Source organism: Homo sapiens, chromosome 16, assembly GCF_000001405.40.
Source record: "Homo sapiens chromosome 16, GRCh38.p14 Primary Assembly".
Classification (NCBI taxonomy): Eukaryota; Metazoa; Chordata; class Mammalia; order Primates; family Hominidae; genus Homo; species Homo sapiens.
This window is the reverse complement of record NC_000016.10, coordinates 4,044,969-4,064,015: the sequence shown is the minus strand read 5'-3', so window position 1 is coordinate 4,064,015 and position 19,047 is coordinate 4,044,969. Positions and strand designations below refer to the sequence as shown.

The following is a 19,047-nucleotide window of genomic DNA, read 5'->3' as shown; positions in this document are numbered from 1 at the left end:
GAATATGAAGAGTTTTACTTGTTTTCCAATCTGTGTCTTTTAAATTTCTTTTTCCTGCCTTATTGTTCTGGATAGCACCTCCAGTACAATGTTGAGTAGAAATGGTGAGAGTAGACATCCTTGTTTTGTTTCTGAACAAAGAACCAACTTTTGGTTTCATCAGTTTTCTCTATTACTTTCCCTAATTCATTGATTTCTGGTCTAGTATTTATTATTGCCTTCCTTCTGCTTTTTTTGGGATTTAGTTTACTCTCCTTTTTATAGTTTCTTAAGGTGGAAACTCAGGTTTGTGTTTTTTTTTTTTGAGACATGATCTCGCCCCGTGGCCCAGGCTGGAGTGCAGTGGTGCGATACTGGCTCACTGCAGCTTCCACCTTCCAGGCTCAAGAGATTCTCTCACCTCAGCCCCCCAAGGAGCTGAGGCTACAGGTGTGTACCATTGGGCCAGCTAATTTTTATTTTTATTTTTTGTAGACACAGGGTCTCACTATATTACCAAGGCTCTTCTTCAACTCCTGGGCTTGAGCGATCGTCCCAGCTTGGCCTTCCAAAGTGTTGAGATTACAGGTGTGAGCCACTGTTCCCTGCTGATGCTCAGTTTATTAACTTGAGACTTTTCTTTTTTTTTTCCTGATACAGGCTTTTAACATTATAAATTTCTCCCTAAGTACTTCTCATAGCTGCATCCTAAATTTTGATCTGCTGTGTTTTTCTTTTCATCCAGTTTGAAGTATTTTTAAACTTCCCTTGTGATTTCTTCTTTGACCTTTGAATCCTTTAGATATGTTTTCTAATTTCTAAGTAGTTGGGGAGTCCACAAATTTATTTCTGTTCTTGATTTTTAAAAATTTCATTTTGGTAGAGAACATGCTTTATATGATTTTAATTCTTTTAAATTTATTGATACTTGTTTTATGACCTAGCCCATGATTCATTCTAGACAATGCGATATGTACACTTGAAAAGAATATATATTCTATTTGTTGTTGCTTGACATGGTCTACAGATGTTAGTTACGTCAGGTTGGTTGACAATGCTGTTCAAAGTCTGTATATCCTTGCTGATTTTCTGTTTAACTATTATGTCAATTATTGAGAGTGGGATATTGAAGTCTCCAAACATTATTGTGAATTGCCTATTTCTCCCTTTGGTTCAGTCAGTGTTTGCTTTATTGTATTTTGTGCTCTGCTATTAAGTGCTTATGTATTTATGTTTTTATATATTCCTCATGAGTTGACCCTTTTATTGTTACAAAATTTCTTTTTCTCTTATAACTTTTTTGTCTTAAAGTTTATTCAGTCTGTGGGATTTTTTTGTGTTTTTGTTTGTTTGTTTTGAGACAGGGTATCACTCTGTCACCCAGGCTGGAGTGCAGTGGCACAATCATAGCTCACTATAACCTTGAATTCCTGTACTCAAGCAATCCACCTGCCACAGCCTCCCATACTTACTTTGATATTATTATAGCCACTGCAACTTTCTTATGGTTTTGTTTGCATAGTACATTTTTCTCCATCTGCATCTCTTGCAGACAGCACATGGTTAGAACTTCTAAAAAATTTAATCTGACAGTCTTCACCTTTTATTGGAGTGTTTAATCCATTTACATTTAATGCAATTATTGATATGCTTGGATTACATCTAACATTTTGCTATGTTTTCTCTGTCTCACATCTTTTTGTTCTGTTTCTCCTTACTGTTTTCTTTTGTGTTAAATAGATATTTTCTAGTGTTCTGTTTTCATCTGTTTGGTGAGGTTTTTAATATTTTTTGGTTATATTTTTAGTGGTTACTCTAAGGATTGCAATATGCATCTCATCACAGTCTACTTTTTAAAGATCTATATATAGCTTTTAAAAAGTAGAGATGGGGTTTTGCCATGTTGCCCAGGCTGGTTTCAAACTCCTGGATTCAAGTGATCCTTCCATCTCAGCCTCCCAAAGTGCTGGGATTACAGGCATGAGCCACTGTGCCTAGAGCTCACAGTCTACTGTAGATTAATGCTAATTCATTTTCAATAAAATATAGAAACTTTGTTCCATTAAATGTCTATGTCTATCTACCTCCTCTGTGGTATTATGTCATGTATATGATATCTTTGTATGTCATAAGCCCAGTAGTAAAAGTCTGTAGTTATTGTTATATGTACTTGTCTTTTAAATCAGTTAAGTGTAAAAAAGAGACTATTTATAAATCTGCTGTATATTTGCCTATGTAATTAGTATTACTAGCATTCTTTATTTCTTCATGTGGATTCAGGATATAATCTGGTGTTTTTTTCTTTCATCTTGAAGGGCTTCCTTTAGTATTTCTTGTAAGTAGGGTCTGCCAGTAACAAATTTTCTGTCTTTGTTTATCTAGGAATATCTTTATTTCTACTTGTTAGTTTTGGGGTATGGTTTTGATGGATATGGAATTCTTGATTGGAAGTTTTTCTTTCAGTGCTTTGAATATGTCATTTTACTGTTTTCTGGTCTCTGTTAATTTCTAACGTGAAGTCAGCTGTTAATCTTATGGTAGTGCTCCTTTTCATGAAGAACCATTTTGTCTTCATGCAGTCAAGATTTTCTCTTTGTTTTTGGCTTCCAGCAGTTTGGCTATGATGTGTCATGGTGGCTCACTTTATTGAGTTGGAGTTTTTTGAGCTTACTTTGAGTTTGTTGGATGTGAACATTAATTTTTTAAAATCAAATGTGAGAAGTTTATGCCATTAGTTTTTCAAAAAATTTTTTCTGCTTCCTTTTGCTTCGTTTTCTTTTGAAACTTCCTTTATATATATGTTGGCATGCTTGATGGTATCCCTGTGTTTCTGAGGTTCTTTTTATTTTTCTTTATGCTTTTTTATTTCTTCTTCAGATTGGATAATTTTAAGTTCACTGATTCTTTCTTCTCCCATGTCAACTCTGTTGTTGAGCCCCTCTAGTGAACTTTTCATTACAGTTATTATACTTTTGAACTCTAGAATTTCTGTTTGGTTTCTTTTTATAATTTCTGTCTCTTTATTAGTATTCTCTATTTGATGAGTCATTGTTACATACTTTCCTTTAGTTCTTTAAACATGAATTCCTTCAGTTCCATTCTTACAGTAGTTTCTTATAACTTTGAAATCTTTGTTAAGTCCAATATCTGGGCCCCCTTAGAGTTTCCAGTTATGACTCTTGCCTGAGTATAATTCACAATACTTTATGTTTCTTTGCATGTCTTATATTTTATTTTTTTAAGCTCTGTATTTTAGTTAATACGTTGTAGCAACTCTGGATTATGATCACCTTTGGCAAAATGCAGGTTTGTTGTTTATTTCTTTTTGTTTGTGACTTGCCTGGATTAATTCTGTGAAGTCTGTCTCTGTAGCAGCTGCTGATGATCCTGCTCATTTTTTTTTTCTTATTTTTAAAATGTGTTTAAGCCTGGCTTTGCAGGGGTTAACCCAGGTCAGCATAGCTTAGTGGTCAGGCAATGATTATTCAGAGGTGTGCTGAAACACCTTGAGCTACTAATGCTTTTCACAGTTTGCGGTGGATATGTGTGTACGTTTAGGGACATGTTCAGAATTCAGGCATATATTATACGAGCCTGTCTTGGTTTTTCCTTTTTGCCAGGCCTTTTCTGGCCTCCTTTGTGCGTGGGGTAGGCCTCACTTTAGCCAAGGATGAGTGGATAACCAGGGCCCTCTTCAGTCTTTCCTGCCTGTGTGCAGCCTTCCAGAGCACGAAGAATGTGTGGGACTTCAGGGACTTTACCACTGCCCGTGATAGCTCCCTTATTCTCTGTATCTTCCGGCTAGGTTTTTGGCTGGTCTCCTGATCTGTTGGTTGCCACAACCGGCATTGCAGGCTCAGGGTGGCTGAGATGTTGACCTTCTGTACATTTCCTGTTGTTTACAGGAAATCACCGTGGTTTATGTCAGTGCCTTTGGGCATGTGCTCTCCTCCAAATCAAGTCAACCCCTCCAGCAGTGGAGCCACCAATTTTCACAGCTCGTCCCACCCTGGTAGATGTAGCAGCATGGGTGAGCTGAGGGGAAGGAGGGGAGCCCCTCAAGCCAAAGCATCACAGAACACCACCGCTCTAACTCAAGATTTGGTCATTTTTCTTCTTCATTTTATTTTTTAATTCTTGAGATGAGGCCTTCCTCTGTCACTCAAGCTGGCGTGCAGTGGCACAATCATAGTTCACTGTAACCTCAAGCTCCCAGGCTCAAGAGATTTTCCCACCTCAGCCTCCTGAGTGGCTGAGACTACAGGTGTGCATCACCACGCCAGGCTGACTTTTTTGTTTTTCGTTGAGACGGGGTCTTGATATGTTGCCCAGGCTGGTCTCTGACTCCCAGCCTCAAGCAATCCTCCTGCCTCGGCCTCCCAAAGTGCTACAATTGCAGGTGGGAGCCACCATGCCCAGCTGCGTAGTTTTTCTTGAATAAACATTTTTCAATTTTTTGTATGTCTTTGGTTGATTTCCAACCCTGTGGTGGTTGTTTTTGACCGACTTGTCTAGTTTTGTTGTTACTTTTTGAGGAGAGGTTTTGCCAAGCTTCTCACTTCATTATTCCAGAAGTTCTTCCCCTCTCCCCAGGTCATCTTTTTGGTTTTTTCTTCTAACTTTCTTTCTTTCTTTTTTTTTCTTTTTTTTTTTTTTTCGATGGATTCTCGCTGTGTCGCCCAGGCTGGAGTGCAGTGGCATGATCTCGGCTCACTGCAGCCTCTGCCTTCCAGGTTCTAGCACTTCTCCTGCCTCAGCCTCCCAGGTTGCTGGGATTACAGGCACCCGCCACCAGCTAATTTTTGTATTTTTTAGTAGAGATGGAGTTTCATCATGTTGGCCAGGCTGGTCTCGAACTCCTGACCTCAGGTGATCTGCCCACCTCGGCCTCCCAGAGTGCTGGGATTAAAGGCGTGAGCCATCGTGCACGGCCGGTTTTTCTTCCAACTTTCTAAGTACTATAAGCTTGTTGTAAAATTTGGCAATATAGAAATGTATAAAATGGAAATGAAAATCTTTACTAATCCCATCCCTTAAAGATAGCCACTGTTAATAAGTTAGTGACTTGCTTTCCAAGCTTTAATCATCTTTCTTTAATCATCATATTTTTGATTATATCCTCTTACCAAAGTTCCTTTACCCCTCACCACAAAGGTTTCTAATTCAGAGACTTCCTTTAGCTCCCTTGATTCAAGGAGATAAAGTTAATTAGCAATCAGGAGATGAGGAGCCCTTTCCTGGCAAGGACAGAATTCTAAGACGGAGGGATTTTTAGCTCCTCGGTGGACTCAGTTCCGCTGCACCTTTTGCAGCATCTTGCCTGCTGGGTCTCCTCTCTGCAGTTTTCTTGTTCCCTGGCCTTTTATCCTCCTGATCACACATACCTTCCCAGGTTCTCCAGGAAAGTAGTGGATCAGTCACTTCCCCCTGCAACGTCATTGTAGGCATGATTACATCTTGGAGTGTTCTCTCAACAAGAGTCAGTGTAGCATGGGGTTCCGGGCCTGAGCTCTGGTGTCACATTGCTTGGAGTTCAAATTTCAATTCTTCTTCTTTTTTTTTTTTTTTTCTTGGAGACAAGAGTTTCTCTGTTTCCCAGGCTGGAGTGCAGTGGGGCGATCTTGGCTCACTGCAACCTCTGCCTCCCAGGTTCAAGTGATTCTCCTGCCTCAGCCTCCTGAGTAGCTGGTACTACAGGTGCACGCCACCATGCCTGGCTAATTTTTGTATTTTTAGTAGAGACGGGGGTTTTACCGTGTTGGCCAGGGTGGTTTTGAACCCCTGACCTCAAGTGATCTTGCCACCTTGGCCTCCCAAAGTGTTGGGATTACAGGCATGAGCCACTGCGCCCAGCCTCAACTCTCTTTTTTTTTTTTTTTAGACAGAGTCTCACTCTGTCACTCAGGCTGGAGTGCAGTGGCATGATCTCGGCTCACTGCAACCTCCACCTCCTGGGTTCAAGCGATTCTTCTGCCTCGACCTCCCAAGTAGCTGGGATTACAGGTGCCCACCACCACGCCTGGCTAATTTTTGTATTTTTAGTAGAGATGGGGTTTCACTATGTTGGCCAGGCTGGTCTCGAACTCTTGACCTGAAGCGATCTGCCCACCTTGGCCTCCCAAAGTGCTGGGATTACTCAACTCTCCTTCTTAGAGTCCTTTGTGACCTTGGGTTCCCTGGGCCTTGGTTTTCTCATCTCTGAAGTGGGGCTGGGAGCAACTCTTGCAGCACTGGGTTGGAACGTGCTGGCCACAGTGCTCACACATCGAGAACACGCCGTAAATGCTCCCCGGGCCTCCGCTTCCTGGTGTCGTCATCCTTATTCAGAATGAACAAGAAATCACTCCTTCAGAGTAATGTTTCAGACAGAGGAGAGAGCTTTGTGGGGGCCCTCTGGCGTGCTCACAGAAGCTTTGGTATTCGTCAACCACTGTAGGAGCCAAGCATTTCCTACAGAATGCAGGGAGCAGGGCTGGCGGGGAGATAGTGCGTGAAAAGAGAGGCTGGTGTTGGGAAAGAAACAGAGACAGAACGGTGGCCGGCGGACAAACGACAATAAGCCAGGATGATGGTGTCACTGCAGCCGGGTGCGGAGTTTCTTTCTGGGGTGATGAAAGTGTTCTAGGTTGATGGTGGTGATGGTTGCACAGCCCTGTGTGAATATGCTAGACACCACTGAATTGTACCCTGGAAACAGATGAATTGTACGGTATGTGAATTATATCTCAATAAAGCTGTTATTAAAAAAAAGATGGACAGTCCCAGCTACTCAGGAAGCTGAGGCAGGAGTATTGCTTGAGGCCAGGGGTTGGAGGCTGCAGTGAGCCGAGATTGCACCACGGCACTCCAGCCTAGGCAACAGAACCAGACGCTTCTCTTTAAACAAAAACCTAAACAATTGTAGATTTTTTTAAAATGAGGCTTTTTGTTTTTTTTATGCCAAAACCCTTCATAGACATGAAATAACAGAAGAGTAAGATTGGCGGGGGGGGGGGGGGCGGTTTCATCAGTACAGGTTACCTGAAAGAACTGAGTTGTTGGTCTGACCTCTGCTAGGACTCGCCATGTGTCATGGCAGGCCTGGCACCTGAAGGAGAGCTTTAGCAATTTGCACTCACATCATCCTGGACCTCAGCCTGGGTGATGGTCACTGTCTTGAGACAGCTTCAGAACAGGCAACCTGGGTGTGGCCGCCTTGTCAACCAGAGATAATAAAAACACAGGTAAACCTCTGCACCTCCATCGTCATGCCGAATTATAACAACAGCACATATTTGTTGAAGTCTTACTATGCACTAGGCACAGTGCTGAGTGCCCATGATGCAGAGGGGAATTTGAGAGTGTCAGTCATTTCTGCCCCTTCGGATCACGCACTGCTTTCCAGTGTTCCCAGGAGACCAGTTTTGAGGTTAGAATTCTGCTTCTTACAGTGAGGACTGATTCTGACTCCTAGGAGGACGAAAGCCCCTTTTAAATTTACTTTGGCTGGGTGTGGTGGCTCACGGCTGTAATCCCAGCACTCTGGGAGGCCGAGGTGGGTGGATCACTTGAGGTCAGCATTTTCAGACCAGCCTGGCCAACATGGTGAAACACCATCTCTACTAAAAATACAAAAATTACCTAAGTGTGGTGGTGCACGCCTATCGTCCCAGCTACTTGGGAGGCTGAGGCAGGAGAATCCCTGGAGCCCGGGAGCGGAGGTTACAGTGAGCTGAGATTGCATCACTGCACTCCAGCCTGGATGACAGAGTGAGACTCGTCTCAAAAACAAAACAAAACACAACAAAACATTACTTTGAAGCCACAGCATTTTGCACAGGTAGGAAAACTGCTGGGCCTGGAGATCTTCTATAAATATGTTGAGAGCTGATGTTGAAGAGATTATTGAAGAATCCTGATGTCACAGAATTTTCTATAGACAACCTCCTTGCGGGGAGGGCGCAGCTTTCGGGTTCTGTATCGCACAACACCGGCTGGGAGCTCCCTGCATGTGTGTTTCCAGCACTGCCTGTCTATGGGAGCTAAGGAAGTGGCTTCAAAACCGCTTGCCAGAGACGCGCAGTCACCCAGTCGTTGCAGCGCTTGTACTTGTGGGAGCTGTCTTGCAGGCTCAGGCATCTTTGATAAGGAATTCCTCATACTTAGAAGTGGCACCTTTGTTCTGCTGGGGAATTGTTCCCAAAAGGTATCTTTTTTTTTTTTTGAAACGGATCCTCGCTCTGTCGCCCACGCTGGAGTGCAGTGGCACCATCTCGGCTCACTGCAAGCTCTGCCTTCTGGGTTCATGCCGTTCTCCTGCCTCAGCCTCCCAAGTAGCTGGGACTACAGGCGCCCGGCGCCACGCCTGGCTAATTTTTTTGTATTTTTAGTAGAGACGGGGTTTCACCGTGTTAGCCGGGATGGTCTCGATCTCCTGACCTCGTGATCCCCCCACCCCGGCCTCCCAAAGTGCTGGGATTGTAGGTGTGAGCCACCGCGTCTGGCCTTTTTTTTTTTCCTTTTTGAGACAGAGTCTTGCTCTGCTGCCCAGGCTGGAGTACAATGGCCTGATCTTGACTCACTGCAACCTCTACCTCCTGGGTTCAAGCAATTCTCCTGTCTCAGCCTCCCGAGTAGCTGGGATTATAGGTGTGTGCCACTATGCCCAGCTAATTTTTTGTATGTTTAGTAGAGACAGGGTTTCACCATGTTGGCCAGGTTGGTCTTGAACTCCTGACCTCAAGTGATCTGCTCGCCTCAGCCTCCCAAAGTACTGGGATTACAGGTGTAAGCCACCACGCCTGACCCCAAAAGACATCTAAAAAGGCTTTTTCACTTGTGAAATCTGCTGAATAGAGCTGGCTTCCTGAGGCCTGGGGGCCCTTCCCGGTGTGGAAGAATGGCTCTGCTGTTGGCTACCACAGTGCTGGGGCCTGTACTCCCACCTCCTCTGCCTCTGTCTGCCTTGTGTGCCTCCCCTTCCGCGGGGGCCCTGCTCTCTGCCTCTTTCTGACCTTCCAGAGTTTTTGAGGTGTGAGTGTGTTGTTGAATTTCATTTACATAATAATTAAAGAGTCAGGGTTTCATGATCTACTGATGTAAAACCCGCAAAAACCCTAAAATCTCGAGTGGTGTTGTACAGCATGTGGGATTCTTTTGTATAACTTGATGATTTTCAAAATATCCATTTCGGCTGGGCACAGTGGCTCACACCTGTAATCCCAGCACTTTGGGAGGTCGAGGCAGGTGGATCACGAGGTCAGGAGATTTAGACCATCCTGGCTAACACAGTGAAACCCGTCTCTACTAACAATACAAAATTAGCCGGGCATGGTGGCGGGCACCTGTAGTCCCAGCTACTCGGGAGGCTGAAGCAGGAGAATTGCTTGAACCCGGGAGGCGTAGCTTGCAGTGAGCCGAGATTGTGCCACTGCACTCCAGCCTGGGTGACAGAGCGAGAGTCCGTCTCAAAAAAAAAAAAAGAAAAAAATCCATTTAATCAGAGCCATACTTGTTGATTACTACAGGTGCTTCCCGTATCTAATACCTCCAGCAAGAAGGTTTGCGAAATGGGCAGAGAGTAATAGGAAGAGTTTCAGGAAGATGGTTTGAGTGAAAATCATTTCAGAACCGAGCCCTGCGAAGTCTTGGTTTCTGCAATCCACCACAGTTTGGGAAAATCGGGAATTTTGTTTAGTCCATTTCTATTTTTGTGCACCACAAATATGTAAACAAAGCTGGGATCTTCGTCGGGGGCGGAGGGAAGGGCGACAGAACCCTGACATCTAATACTGGTCATCGGTATTTCCATGTGTTTCCTGATCCCATTGTCTCTGCTATTTAAATTAATTAATTCCACAAGTATGCACTCAGTAAATATTGTGAGCCAGGCACTATTCTCGGCTCTGTGGTTGCATCAGTGAACAAAACAGACGCTAATCCTGCTTTCGTGAGCCATCTATAATAGAATGGGCGAGTCAAGAAATTGACACATGCATTAGAAAAATATGTAGCGTGTCGCTGGTAAGTGCTTGAGAGCTCATCAGGGAAGGGCAGGAGTTTGTGGAGTGGGGGTGAGGGATGTGGGGTGGGGCGGGGCAAGGGTGGCAAGAGGCCTGGGGCTGCTGGTTGCAACTGTAACCAGAGTGGCCAGGGAAATCCTTGCTCCTCTGGGTAATGCCCTATCCAGAAGACCCTTGCAAATTTCTAAAATGCTGTGTTTTATTACCGAGAAAGAGTCGTCTGGGAGCTCTCCGAGGCAAATAACTTTTGAAGTTGGCATGAGCAGGATATTGTGCAATGGGGCTCACTGGCTGCGTCCCAGGCCTCCGCATCTGATGTGAACCACAGCTTTGCAATCGGGTCCCCGTGCCATCCAAAAATATTTTGTGACCTTGCCGGTTGGCAGTTTTTTAAAAATGTTATTTTCAGTCTCCAAAAAAGGGAAACATCAAAGTGCAGGCTGTCCACTCCTGCCCTTCTTGATAGACACAGACAGCTGGGCCACACAATCAGCCATTGTGGCGACAAGTGCCCAACTGTTATAAATAGACGGCGGGCTCGCACGTGAAGCGCTCCAGAGGAAGGGCAAGTGCTCTGGGGACACTGCCAACTGCTGTTTCCGTCGAGAGCTCTTCTCAAAGATCAATATTATTTTATGTCTCAGTGACTGAATTTGAAAAAACGACTGTGAAAGCACCTGGTAACTTAACTGTCTCCAGGATTCCATTCCAAACGCATCTTCTCTCTTCACTGTTAATCTTAGATGTTTCCCATGCTTATTTAGTAATCATTGCCTGACGGCCCACTTCACTGCGATTTACAGTCTCTTGCGGCTCACTTGAAATGGTAGAGTTATGGATAACCGCGCTGGTGTATGTGCGTGTGATGCGTGGCCGGAAGCGCATGCCCATTGAATAATCACGTTCGTCCCACATCTTAGCCCCTCTTCCAAGACATGTTTACTATCGTTTACGTGTGACATGTCAAAACATCTTAAAACTATGCCACGCATGTAATAGGCTCTCAGTGATTAAAAAATCAGTTTGTCTCTTAAGGAGAAAAGAATAACAGCATGTGACTCTTGTGAGTCCCTGACAAAGAATCTGTTGTTCCCCGTGCACTTGAAGAGCCGCTCATGTCAAGAAGCAACTTGTGATTATGCAATGTGTGACTTAAGGCATTGTCAGATGCGTTCGGCTGAAACGGGACCCCGCCCCAGCAGTTTGCCTTACTAAGTTAACATGGTAGGTCAGATTTTAGTATTGTAGAAAAAGCCACATTCAATATTCTTTGAGTAGCATATTTATTTCCTAGGGCTACTGTACCAAAGTACCTCAAACCAGGTGGCTTCAAACAACAGAGTTACACGCTAGTTGATATCTAGTGATTCAAAGAACAGAATTCCACACTAGTTGTTATCTAGGAATGCGGAGTGAGTGATAGAGGGGGTTTTGGTGGCGTTATATTCTAATTTTGAAGTAAGTTTAAATTTACAGAGATGCTCCCAAACAGTATAAAGAATTCCCAAATACTCTTCACCCAGATTCCCTGAATTAACATTCCGACATGTTTGTCTGTCTGTCTCTCCACATACACACATCCCTTTTTTCCGGAATAATTTGAGAATAGACTGCAGAGAGTGCCTCTAGATTCTCCTGTGTGGGTTTCCTAAAAACAAGGACGCTGTCCCGGATAGCCTGCACCGACCTGCCCAAATCAGGACGTGGGCACTGTCACACCATGCCACCAAATGCAGAGGCCCCGGAGCCCGCCCAGGACCACAGGCGCCGTCTGTGTCAATGGCTCTCGAGTCTCCTTCAATCTGGGGCTGTTCCTTCGTCTCTGTCTTTCACGACCTTGACATTTTTTTAAGAGAACAGGCCAGTTACTTTGTAGAATGTCCCTCGGTTTGGGCTGGTCTCATATTCCTTCATGATGAGAATCAGGTGGTAGGTTCCTGGCAGGAGAGTCCCTGCAGGGTTGTCACGACAGGAACGCACACAGGTCTGATCAGTCCCATTTCTGGAGAAGTTAACTTATCATTTGGTTGAGGTGGTGTCTACCAGGTTTCTCCACTGTAAAATTAATTTGTTGGTATTTTGTAATTATCAGTTAAAAAGTACTGTTTCTGGTGGGGAGATTTTTTGGGGACTCGGAAAATATCCTGTTTCTCATTAAGCTTTTTGCCCATTTGTTTTAGCATCCTGGGATGATTCTTGCCTGAGGGAATTAGTATGAGCATTGCCAAATGGTGATGTTTCTAGTTGCATTGTTTCTTTTGCATTGATTAGTTGGCATTCCACTGCAAGCTGGAGCTTGCCTGCTGTCTTTCTCTCCTTCCTATCAATACACTCATAGACTCCTATTTTACCCATTGGGTTATAATTCATTACCATTATCATTTGCTTCGATACCCAGATTGTCCCAGATTTGGCCAAAAGCAGCGCCTCCAAGCTGGCCCCTGTGTTCTTTTGATGTGTTCATGTCATTCTTTGAGCACATCTTTACTTCTTCTTCTTTTTTTTTTTTTTTTAGATGGAGTCTTGCTCTGTTGCCCAGGTGGGAGTTCAGTGGCGTGATCTCTGCTCATTGCAAGCTCCGCCTCCCGGGTTCACGCCATTCTCCCGCCTCAGTCTCCCGAGTAGCTGGGACTACAGGCGCCCGCCACCACGCCCGGCTAATTTTTGTATTTTTAGTAGAGACGGGGTTTCACTGTGTTAACCAGGATGGTCTCAATCCCCTGACCTCGTGATCTGCCTGCCTCAGCCTCCCAAAGTGTTGGGATTACAGGTGAGAGCCACCATGCCTGGCCAGGTTTTTTCGTTTTTGTTTTTGTTTTTTTTGAGATGGAATCTCACTCTGTTGCCCCGGCTGGAGTGCAATGGCGTGATCATGGCTCACTGAAACCTCTGCCTCCTGGGTCCATGCAATTCTCCTGCCTCAGCCTCCCATGTAGCTGGGATTACAGGCGTGCGCCACCACACCCAGCTAATTTTTGTATATTTAGTAGAGATGGGGTTTCACCATGTTGGCCAGGCTGATCTCCAACTTGTAACCTCAGGTGATCTGCCTGCCTCGTCCTCCCAAAGTGCTGGGATGACAGGTGTGAGCCACTGCTCCCGGCCACATGTTTAGTTCTTGGTTCTAGGCTCACCCGGAACTTTCCTTGCTCCAGCCCTGGAATCAGCCATTTCTCCAATAAGCCCTGGTTCCTTTTAGTAGAAAGTGGTTTTTAGAAACCAGGATCTAAGTATTAGGTGTGTTCACGCTACTGGGCTATTACGGCTACAAGGACTTCTCAAGCAGCGTAGTTAGGAATTTTTTTTTTTTTTTTTTTTTTTTGAGACGGAGTTTCACTCTTGTTGCCAAGACTGGCATGCAGTGGCAGGAACTTGGCTCACCGCAACCTCTGCCTCCCGGTTCAAGCAGTTCTCCTGCCTCAGCCTCCCTAGTAGCTGGGATTACAGGCATGCGCCACCACGTCCGGCTAATTTTGTATTTTTAGTAGAGACGGGGTTTCACCATGTTGGTCAGGCTGGGTCTCAAACTCCTGACCTCAGGTGACCCATCCATCTTGGCTTCCCAGAGTGCTGGGATTACAGGCATGAGCCACCGCGCCTGGCATAGCTAGGAAATTAAACATATGCATGTACTTCCCTACACGTACACATATGTTTGTACATACACACACGGGCACACATGCGTTTGTAGTTCTTTGTATCCATCTGTCCCGCTCGTATCTATGTATCCATTCATCTCATATAAAAATCATGATACCATCCAAGTCAAATGGTTTGTTTCAGCTTTCTCCCCTTTCCTTGGCTGTGCCCCTCTTTTCTAACAATAACAGTAACAGCTCTTATCATATTAACTGTTTTTATTTATTGACCCTTGTATGTCACCAGTCTTCTGACATGCAGGCCATCCAGTCCATGTTCCTGGCCCAGGAACATGGCAGCCAAGGGTCCCCACCCCCACTTCGGCCCCCAACAGTGGACTCTCGGGATAGTTCTTTTTTTTTTTTTGAGACACAGTCTCACTCTGTCACCCAGGCTGGAGTATAGTGGTGTGATCTCGGCTCACTGCAGCCACTAACTCCTGGGTTCAAGCAGTCCTCCCACCCTAGCTTCCTGAGTAGCAGGGACTACAGGTGTACACCATCATGCCCGTCTACTTTTGTATTTTTTGTAGAAACAGGGTCGGTCTTACCTTGTTGCCCAGGCTGGTGGATAGTTCTTTATAGCAGTAGCCTAAACAGAAAAACATATACAACATAAGCTAAGAAAAAGGCCTCCCTTATCGATATTTCTGGGTTAATCTGAAAGATTTTGAAGTCTGGAAGAATCAGCTGGTTGTTGGTAAAGGGACGGTGGACATGAAGGATGCGGAAGGGATGGGTTGGAGGCGGGAGGTGAGTTTCATGTGGTGTTTTTGACTCAGAGGGTCACTTTTATTGTTCTGCCTTGTAGTCAGAAGAAAAATCTTTTCACGTGGTTTCGGCTCAGAAGTATGTTAGAAAGTAGACTACAGAGACTGAAGGTGACATTCCAGAGACTTTTTAAGGATAATCTGGCCAAAGGTGTTTACTATTTGATTAGCCAGCATCCTTGGGCTCGGCTAGGGTCTTGGTCTGGTCTGAGAACATGTTGGGGGATTGTGCCAGTGTCGGTGGTGGGTGCCTGTGCCTGGTCATCTATGGGCAGCTAGGGGTGGGTGCTGCCCCTTCCGACTTTCTCTCCACTGCAGAGACGAAGCCTTCAGCAGCATTTCCCTGGACCCTCTTCTCTCTGGTCCCAGGTCAGGTTCTGTACAGCAATGGAAAGCAGGGGAGAGGATGCCCACGCTGTGCGTGGCCGTTTGGAGCAGACTCAGGGACCAGTGGGACCTCCTCTTCTGGGTGAGCTTGGCAACCACTCTTTTAGGAATTCCAGTTTGTAATGCCTTCCGGGTGAGCCCTGTGAGTCGCTTGCTCTTAGTAGTGTCCTTTGCTGCCCCAGCCTTCTGCTTCCCTGTATTTAAAACCTTTCTGAGCCAGGATTACGATTTCCTGATACCATGACTGACCCTTGGTCGTTATGAGTCCTGATGGTCCCAGGAGCTTTTCCTTCATTTGCTTGGGTTTTGAGTTGTGAGCTGGAGACCAGGGGTTTTGCTTGATGGGGACATTCCTGGCTCTTCTCCTGGGGAGTGACCATGGGCCCTGCCTAGGTGAGATCCTCTGGATTGTGAGGAGGGACTTGAGCAGCCCTACTAGAGTGCCGTCTATGGGAACCCTCAGCATCGCCTGTCCAAGCCAGCATCTAGTGGACGCTCACGCTGTGTGAGACACTGAGCTTATCCAGCAAGGGCAGAAATGGCAGCTCTTGGGAAAGAAGGGAGTGGGGCATCGCTGTGTCTCCTATTATTTGCCATTGTGGCCTCCCTCTCCAGGTGCACCGAGGGGCCTATCTGTGTGATTCTTGCAGGGGTACTGACGTCCGTTTCATCTCACCCGTGTCCCTCTACAAGTGCAGGAGTTGTAGGGCTATGTTATTCTTAGGTAGCTTAATGGATCCATTTTCATAATAAACTCCATTTTATTTTGTTTGCCATTGTACTGCCATTTGCGGAACAAAGAGAAGTTATATAAACCACAGAAGGGGGAGAATGTGACCCAGGAATAAACTGTTGTGTTTCACAGTAAGTGTATGGAACTAATTTAGAATGATTTTTCATTGTCAAACAAAGAACAAATGGAAATTTGAACAATGCATGGTTACTTTTAACAAAGACTTCATTTTAATGTTATTAGTGTTTTCTCATTTTAAAATGGCAGTGCAAATATAACCTTAAAATAGGGTTTATGACTAATTACATTTCTTTTTTGTATGTCTGACAATTTCCAATTATTGGGTGTTTGTGTTCCCCAGCCCACCCTCCCCCAAAAATGACAGGGAACAGAAACCAGTGAAAAGATCTCTCTTTGGCGCCCTTCCCAGACTAGGACCTGTTTTGTTCAGGGTGAGCACAGAGGAGAACTGGGTCCTCTTGTCAGGCTGAAGGGGACGTCACAGAAGCCCCAAGTGGGTCACGGCAGAGCGTCAGCCAGAACCTCCAGGGCTCACTCCCAGGCCTCAGTCACCAGATGCTTCGTGGCTACCTGGGTAAGGGAGGGTTCAGGGCAAGTTAGGGACTGCAATGAGAAAACAACACACTCTGGCCGGATGCGGTGGCTCACGCCTGTAATCCCAGCACTTTGGGAGGCCGAGGCGGGCGGATCACCTGAGGTCAGGAGTTCGAGATCAGCCTGGCCAACGTGGATTTCAACCAAGGACCTGCTTGGTCATAGATTTCAACCGAAGGACCTGATTGGTCATGGATTTCAACCAAAGGACCTGATTGGTCATGGATTTCAACCAAAGGACCTGATTGGTCATGCAGACAGAACTTTGAAGGCTGTCATGGGTTGTGTCCATGTTGTTTGGTTTTCCATCTTGAACGAATACCAGTGTGCGTCTAACAGCTCACACAGAAGCCCATTGGTTACAAAGGAATTGCAATTGTCAATCCAATTGCCCCCCAGGGAGAACTGAAGATTTTTTTAAATAATGTCTTCGTAACAGCTGTGTAAGTCCCCCAGGCCCTTAACTAGAGAAACCACATCACAGAATTTTATTTACTTTATAAATTCTAATATTTTAGAATTAAGATAATTTGTAGTTTAGATGATTTTTGCTAAGCTAGCTCTCTCTTTCTTTTTATCTCTTCCTTTCTCTCTTTTCTTTCTTTCTTTGATGGAGTCTCAAAAAAAGGAGAAGGGTGTCCAAACATCCTGGATGAAAATGGCTCCATGCTGTCATAGAATTTTATTTACTTTATAAATCCTAATATTTTAGAACTTAAAAAAGATACTTTGTAGTTTAGATGGTTATAGTTAAGCTATTTCATTTTTTTTAAAAAACGAAGAAATTAGCATTCAATGTCTGCCTAGAAACAATCTTATATACAGTCCTTATGTACAAATCTTTTTTGTGGAATATGTTTTCGTAGTTTTTTGTTTTTTGTTTTAGATTGGGTCTTGCTCTGTTGACCAGGCTGGAGTCCAGTGGCGTACTTATAGCTTACTGCAGCCTCGACCTCCAGAGCTCAGTCAGTCCTCCTACCTCAGCCTCCCAAGTAGCTGGGACTGCAGGTGCATGCCAGCACACTTGGATAATTTAAAAAAAAAACTTTTTTTTTGTTGTTTTGTTGAGACGGGGTCTCACTTATGTTGCCCAGGCTGGTCTCGAACTTCTGGGCTCTAGCGAAGCTCTTTCATTTTAGAAAAGGATCATGTCACCTCGATATGTGAGGTCTGTGGAAAATCTTGCTTTAAGATGATCTGCGTGAACTAGTAGCTTAGATTATTGAGTCTTATTTTCTTCAGAACTCTGATAGGCACAATTACTAGATTTAAGTTAAAGGGCTGTAAAACAGCCTCAGTACTTTTTCATGAAGTAGACAAGTTTCACAGTGCTTTGGAAATGACTACTAAGCTACTCCCAGCCTGCTCATTGAGAACTCACGATTTCCTCTGGATGAGTGGGAATGTTGTTGGTTCTGCATTTGTCATCAGTGCTTAGGACACACACACACAAGCAACGTGTGCTGGCCCATGCAGTTTTTCCTTATTTACAAAGCTCATGTGAGAATTGTGACTCTGCCCATTCGTGGATCTGCACAACATATGGTGACGAATATAAGTTCGGGGGCGTGGGGGGAATGCGCATGTGCTATGGTTCAGTGCTGGGCACTGGGTGTTGTGGTTCAGTGCTGGGCACTGTGTGCCGTGGTTCAGTGCTGGGCACTGTGCTGATTGCTTCTGCGACTCCGGACAGATACTTAAGGCTCAGCTCAGGTTCGTCATTAACACGAATCACAAATTCAGACCTGGTGCCGTGGCTCACACCTGTGATCCCAGCACTTTGGGAGGCCGAGGCAGGAGTATCACTTGAGCCCAGGATTTGGAGGCCAGCCCGGGAAACATAGGAAGACCCCCAACTCTACAAAAAATATGAAAAAAAGTTTAGCCAGGTGTGGTGGTATGCAACTGTAGTCCCAGCTACTGGGGAGGCTGAAATGGGAGGATCGCTTGAGCCTAGGAGTTCAAGACCAGCCTGGGCAACATGATGAAACCTCATCTCTACAAAAAAAAAAAAAAAAAAAAAGAAAGAAAAAAAGCATGGTGGTGCATGTCTGTAGTCCCAGCTACTCGGGCGGCTGAGGTGAAAGGATCACTTGAGCCAAGGAGGTCGAGGCTGCAGTGAGCCAAGATCGCGCCACTGTACTGCAGCCTGGGCAACAGAGTGAGACCCTATCTCAAAAAATTCACAAGGGTTTTCAAAGCTAGTTACTGCCTGAGACCATCTTCCCCTCTTGGATGGATGCAGCAAATTGGGAGGCAAAATTATTTGGCTCTTTTTTTTTTTTTTTTTTTTTTTTTAAGGCAGAGTCTTGCTCTGTTGCCCAGGCTGGAGTGCAGTGGTCCGATCTCAGCTCACTGCAACCTCAGCCTCCTGGATTCAAGCAATTCTCCTGCCTCAGCCTCCTGAGTAGCTGGGATTACAGGTACACGCCACCACACCTGGCTAATTTTTGTATTTTTAGTAGAGACAGGGTTTCACCATGTTAGTCAGGCTGGTCGCGAACTCCTGACCTTGTGATCTGCCCGTCTTGGCCTCTGAAAGTGCTGGGATTACAGGCGTGAACCACCGTGCCCAGCCGCGTTTGGCTCCTTCCTAACTAAACAGAGATTAAACTGTTTATTGTTACCTGGGCTTTCATTTTTTCATAGCAGTCACTTTATTTTCATCTCTTTGTCCTCAGCTTCCCCTCAAATATTTGTCAAGTGTCTACCAAGGCTGGGAATGATAGTAAAAGGAGTTTAAAAAACAAAAGAGGCTCTAAAAATGGTACTAGACTCTTCCATTCAGGACTTTGTCCAAAGCCTCACTTTATAATGCTTTTGTGATTTATCCTCATTCCCATAAACTCAGATGATACGAATTTATACGAGTTTGCATTAATAAATATTTCTTGCATGCTTGTCTTATCAACCATACCGAGCCA

At 44.9% G+C, this 19,047-nt stretch overlaps 1 protein-coding gene and 1 long non-coding RNA gene across 4 annotated transcripts in view, besides 1 other annotated feature; both read left to right on the top strand.

Annotated features, from left to right (window-relative positions):
• ADCY9 (adenylate cyclase 9) overlaps positions 1-19,047 on the top strand; it is a 163,056-nt gene that overhangs the window by 52,427 nt on the left and 91,582 nt on the right. The gene's annotated exons all lie outside the window — the stretch shown is intronic.
• Positions 3,853-4,353: an enhancer, noted in NCBI's record as "H3K27ac hESC enhancer chr16:4109664-4110164 (GRCh37/hg19 assembly coordinates)". NCBI's record gives its function as "activates a minimal SCP1, AML or CMV promoter by ChIP-STARR-seq in naive H9 embryonic stem cells {active_cell/tissue: H9 hESC(naive)}" and the evidence as "EXISTENCE:reporter gene assay evidence [ECO:0000049][PMID:30033119]".
• On the top strand, positions 9,396-13,744 carry LOC124900373 (uncharacterized). Its single transcript, XR_007064957.1, has 2 exons — positions 9,396-9,981; positions 10,195-13,744. It is a non-coding gene; the product is annotated as an uncharacterized LOC124900373 (long non-coding RNA).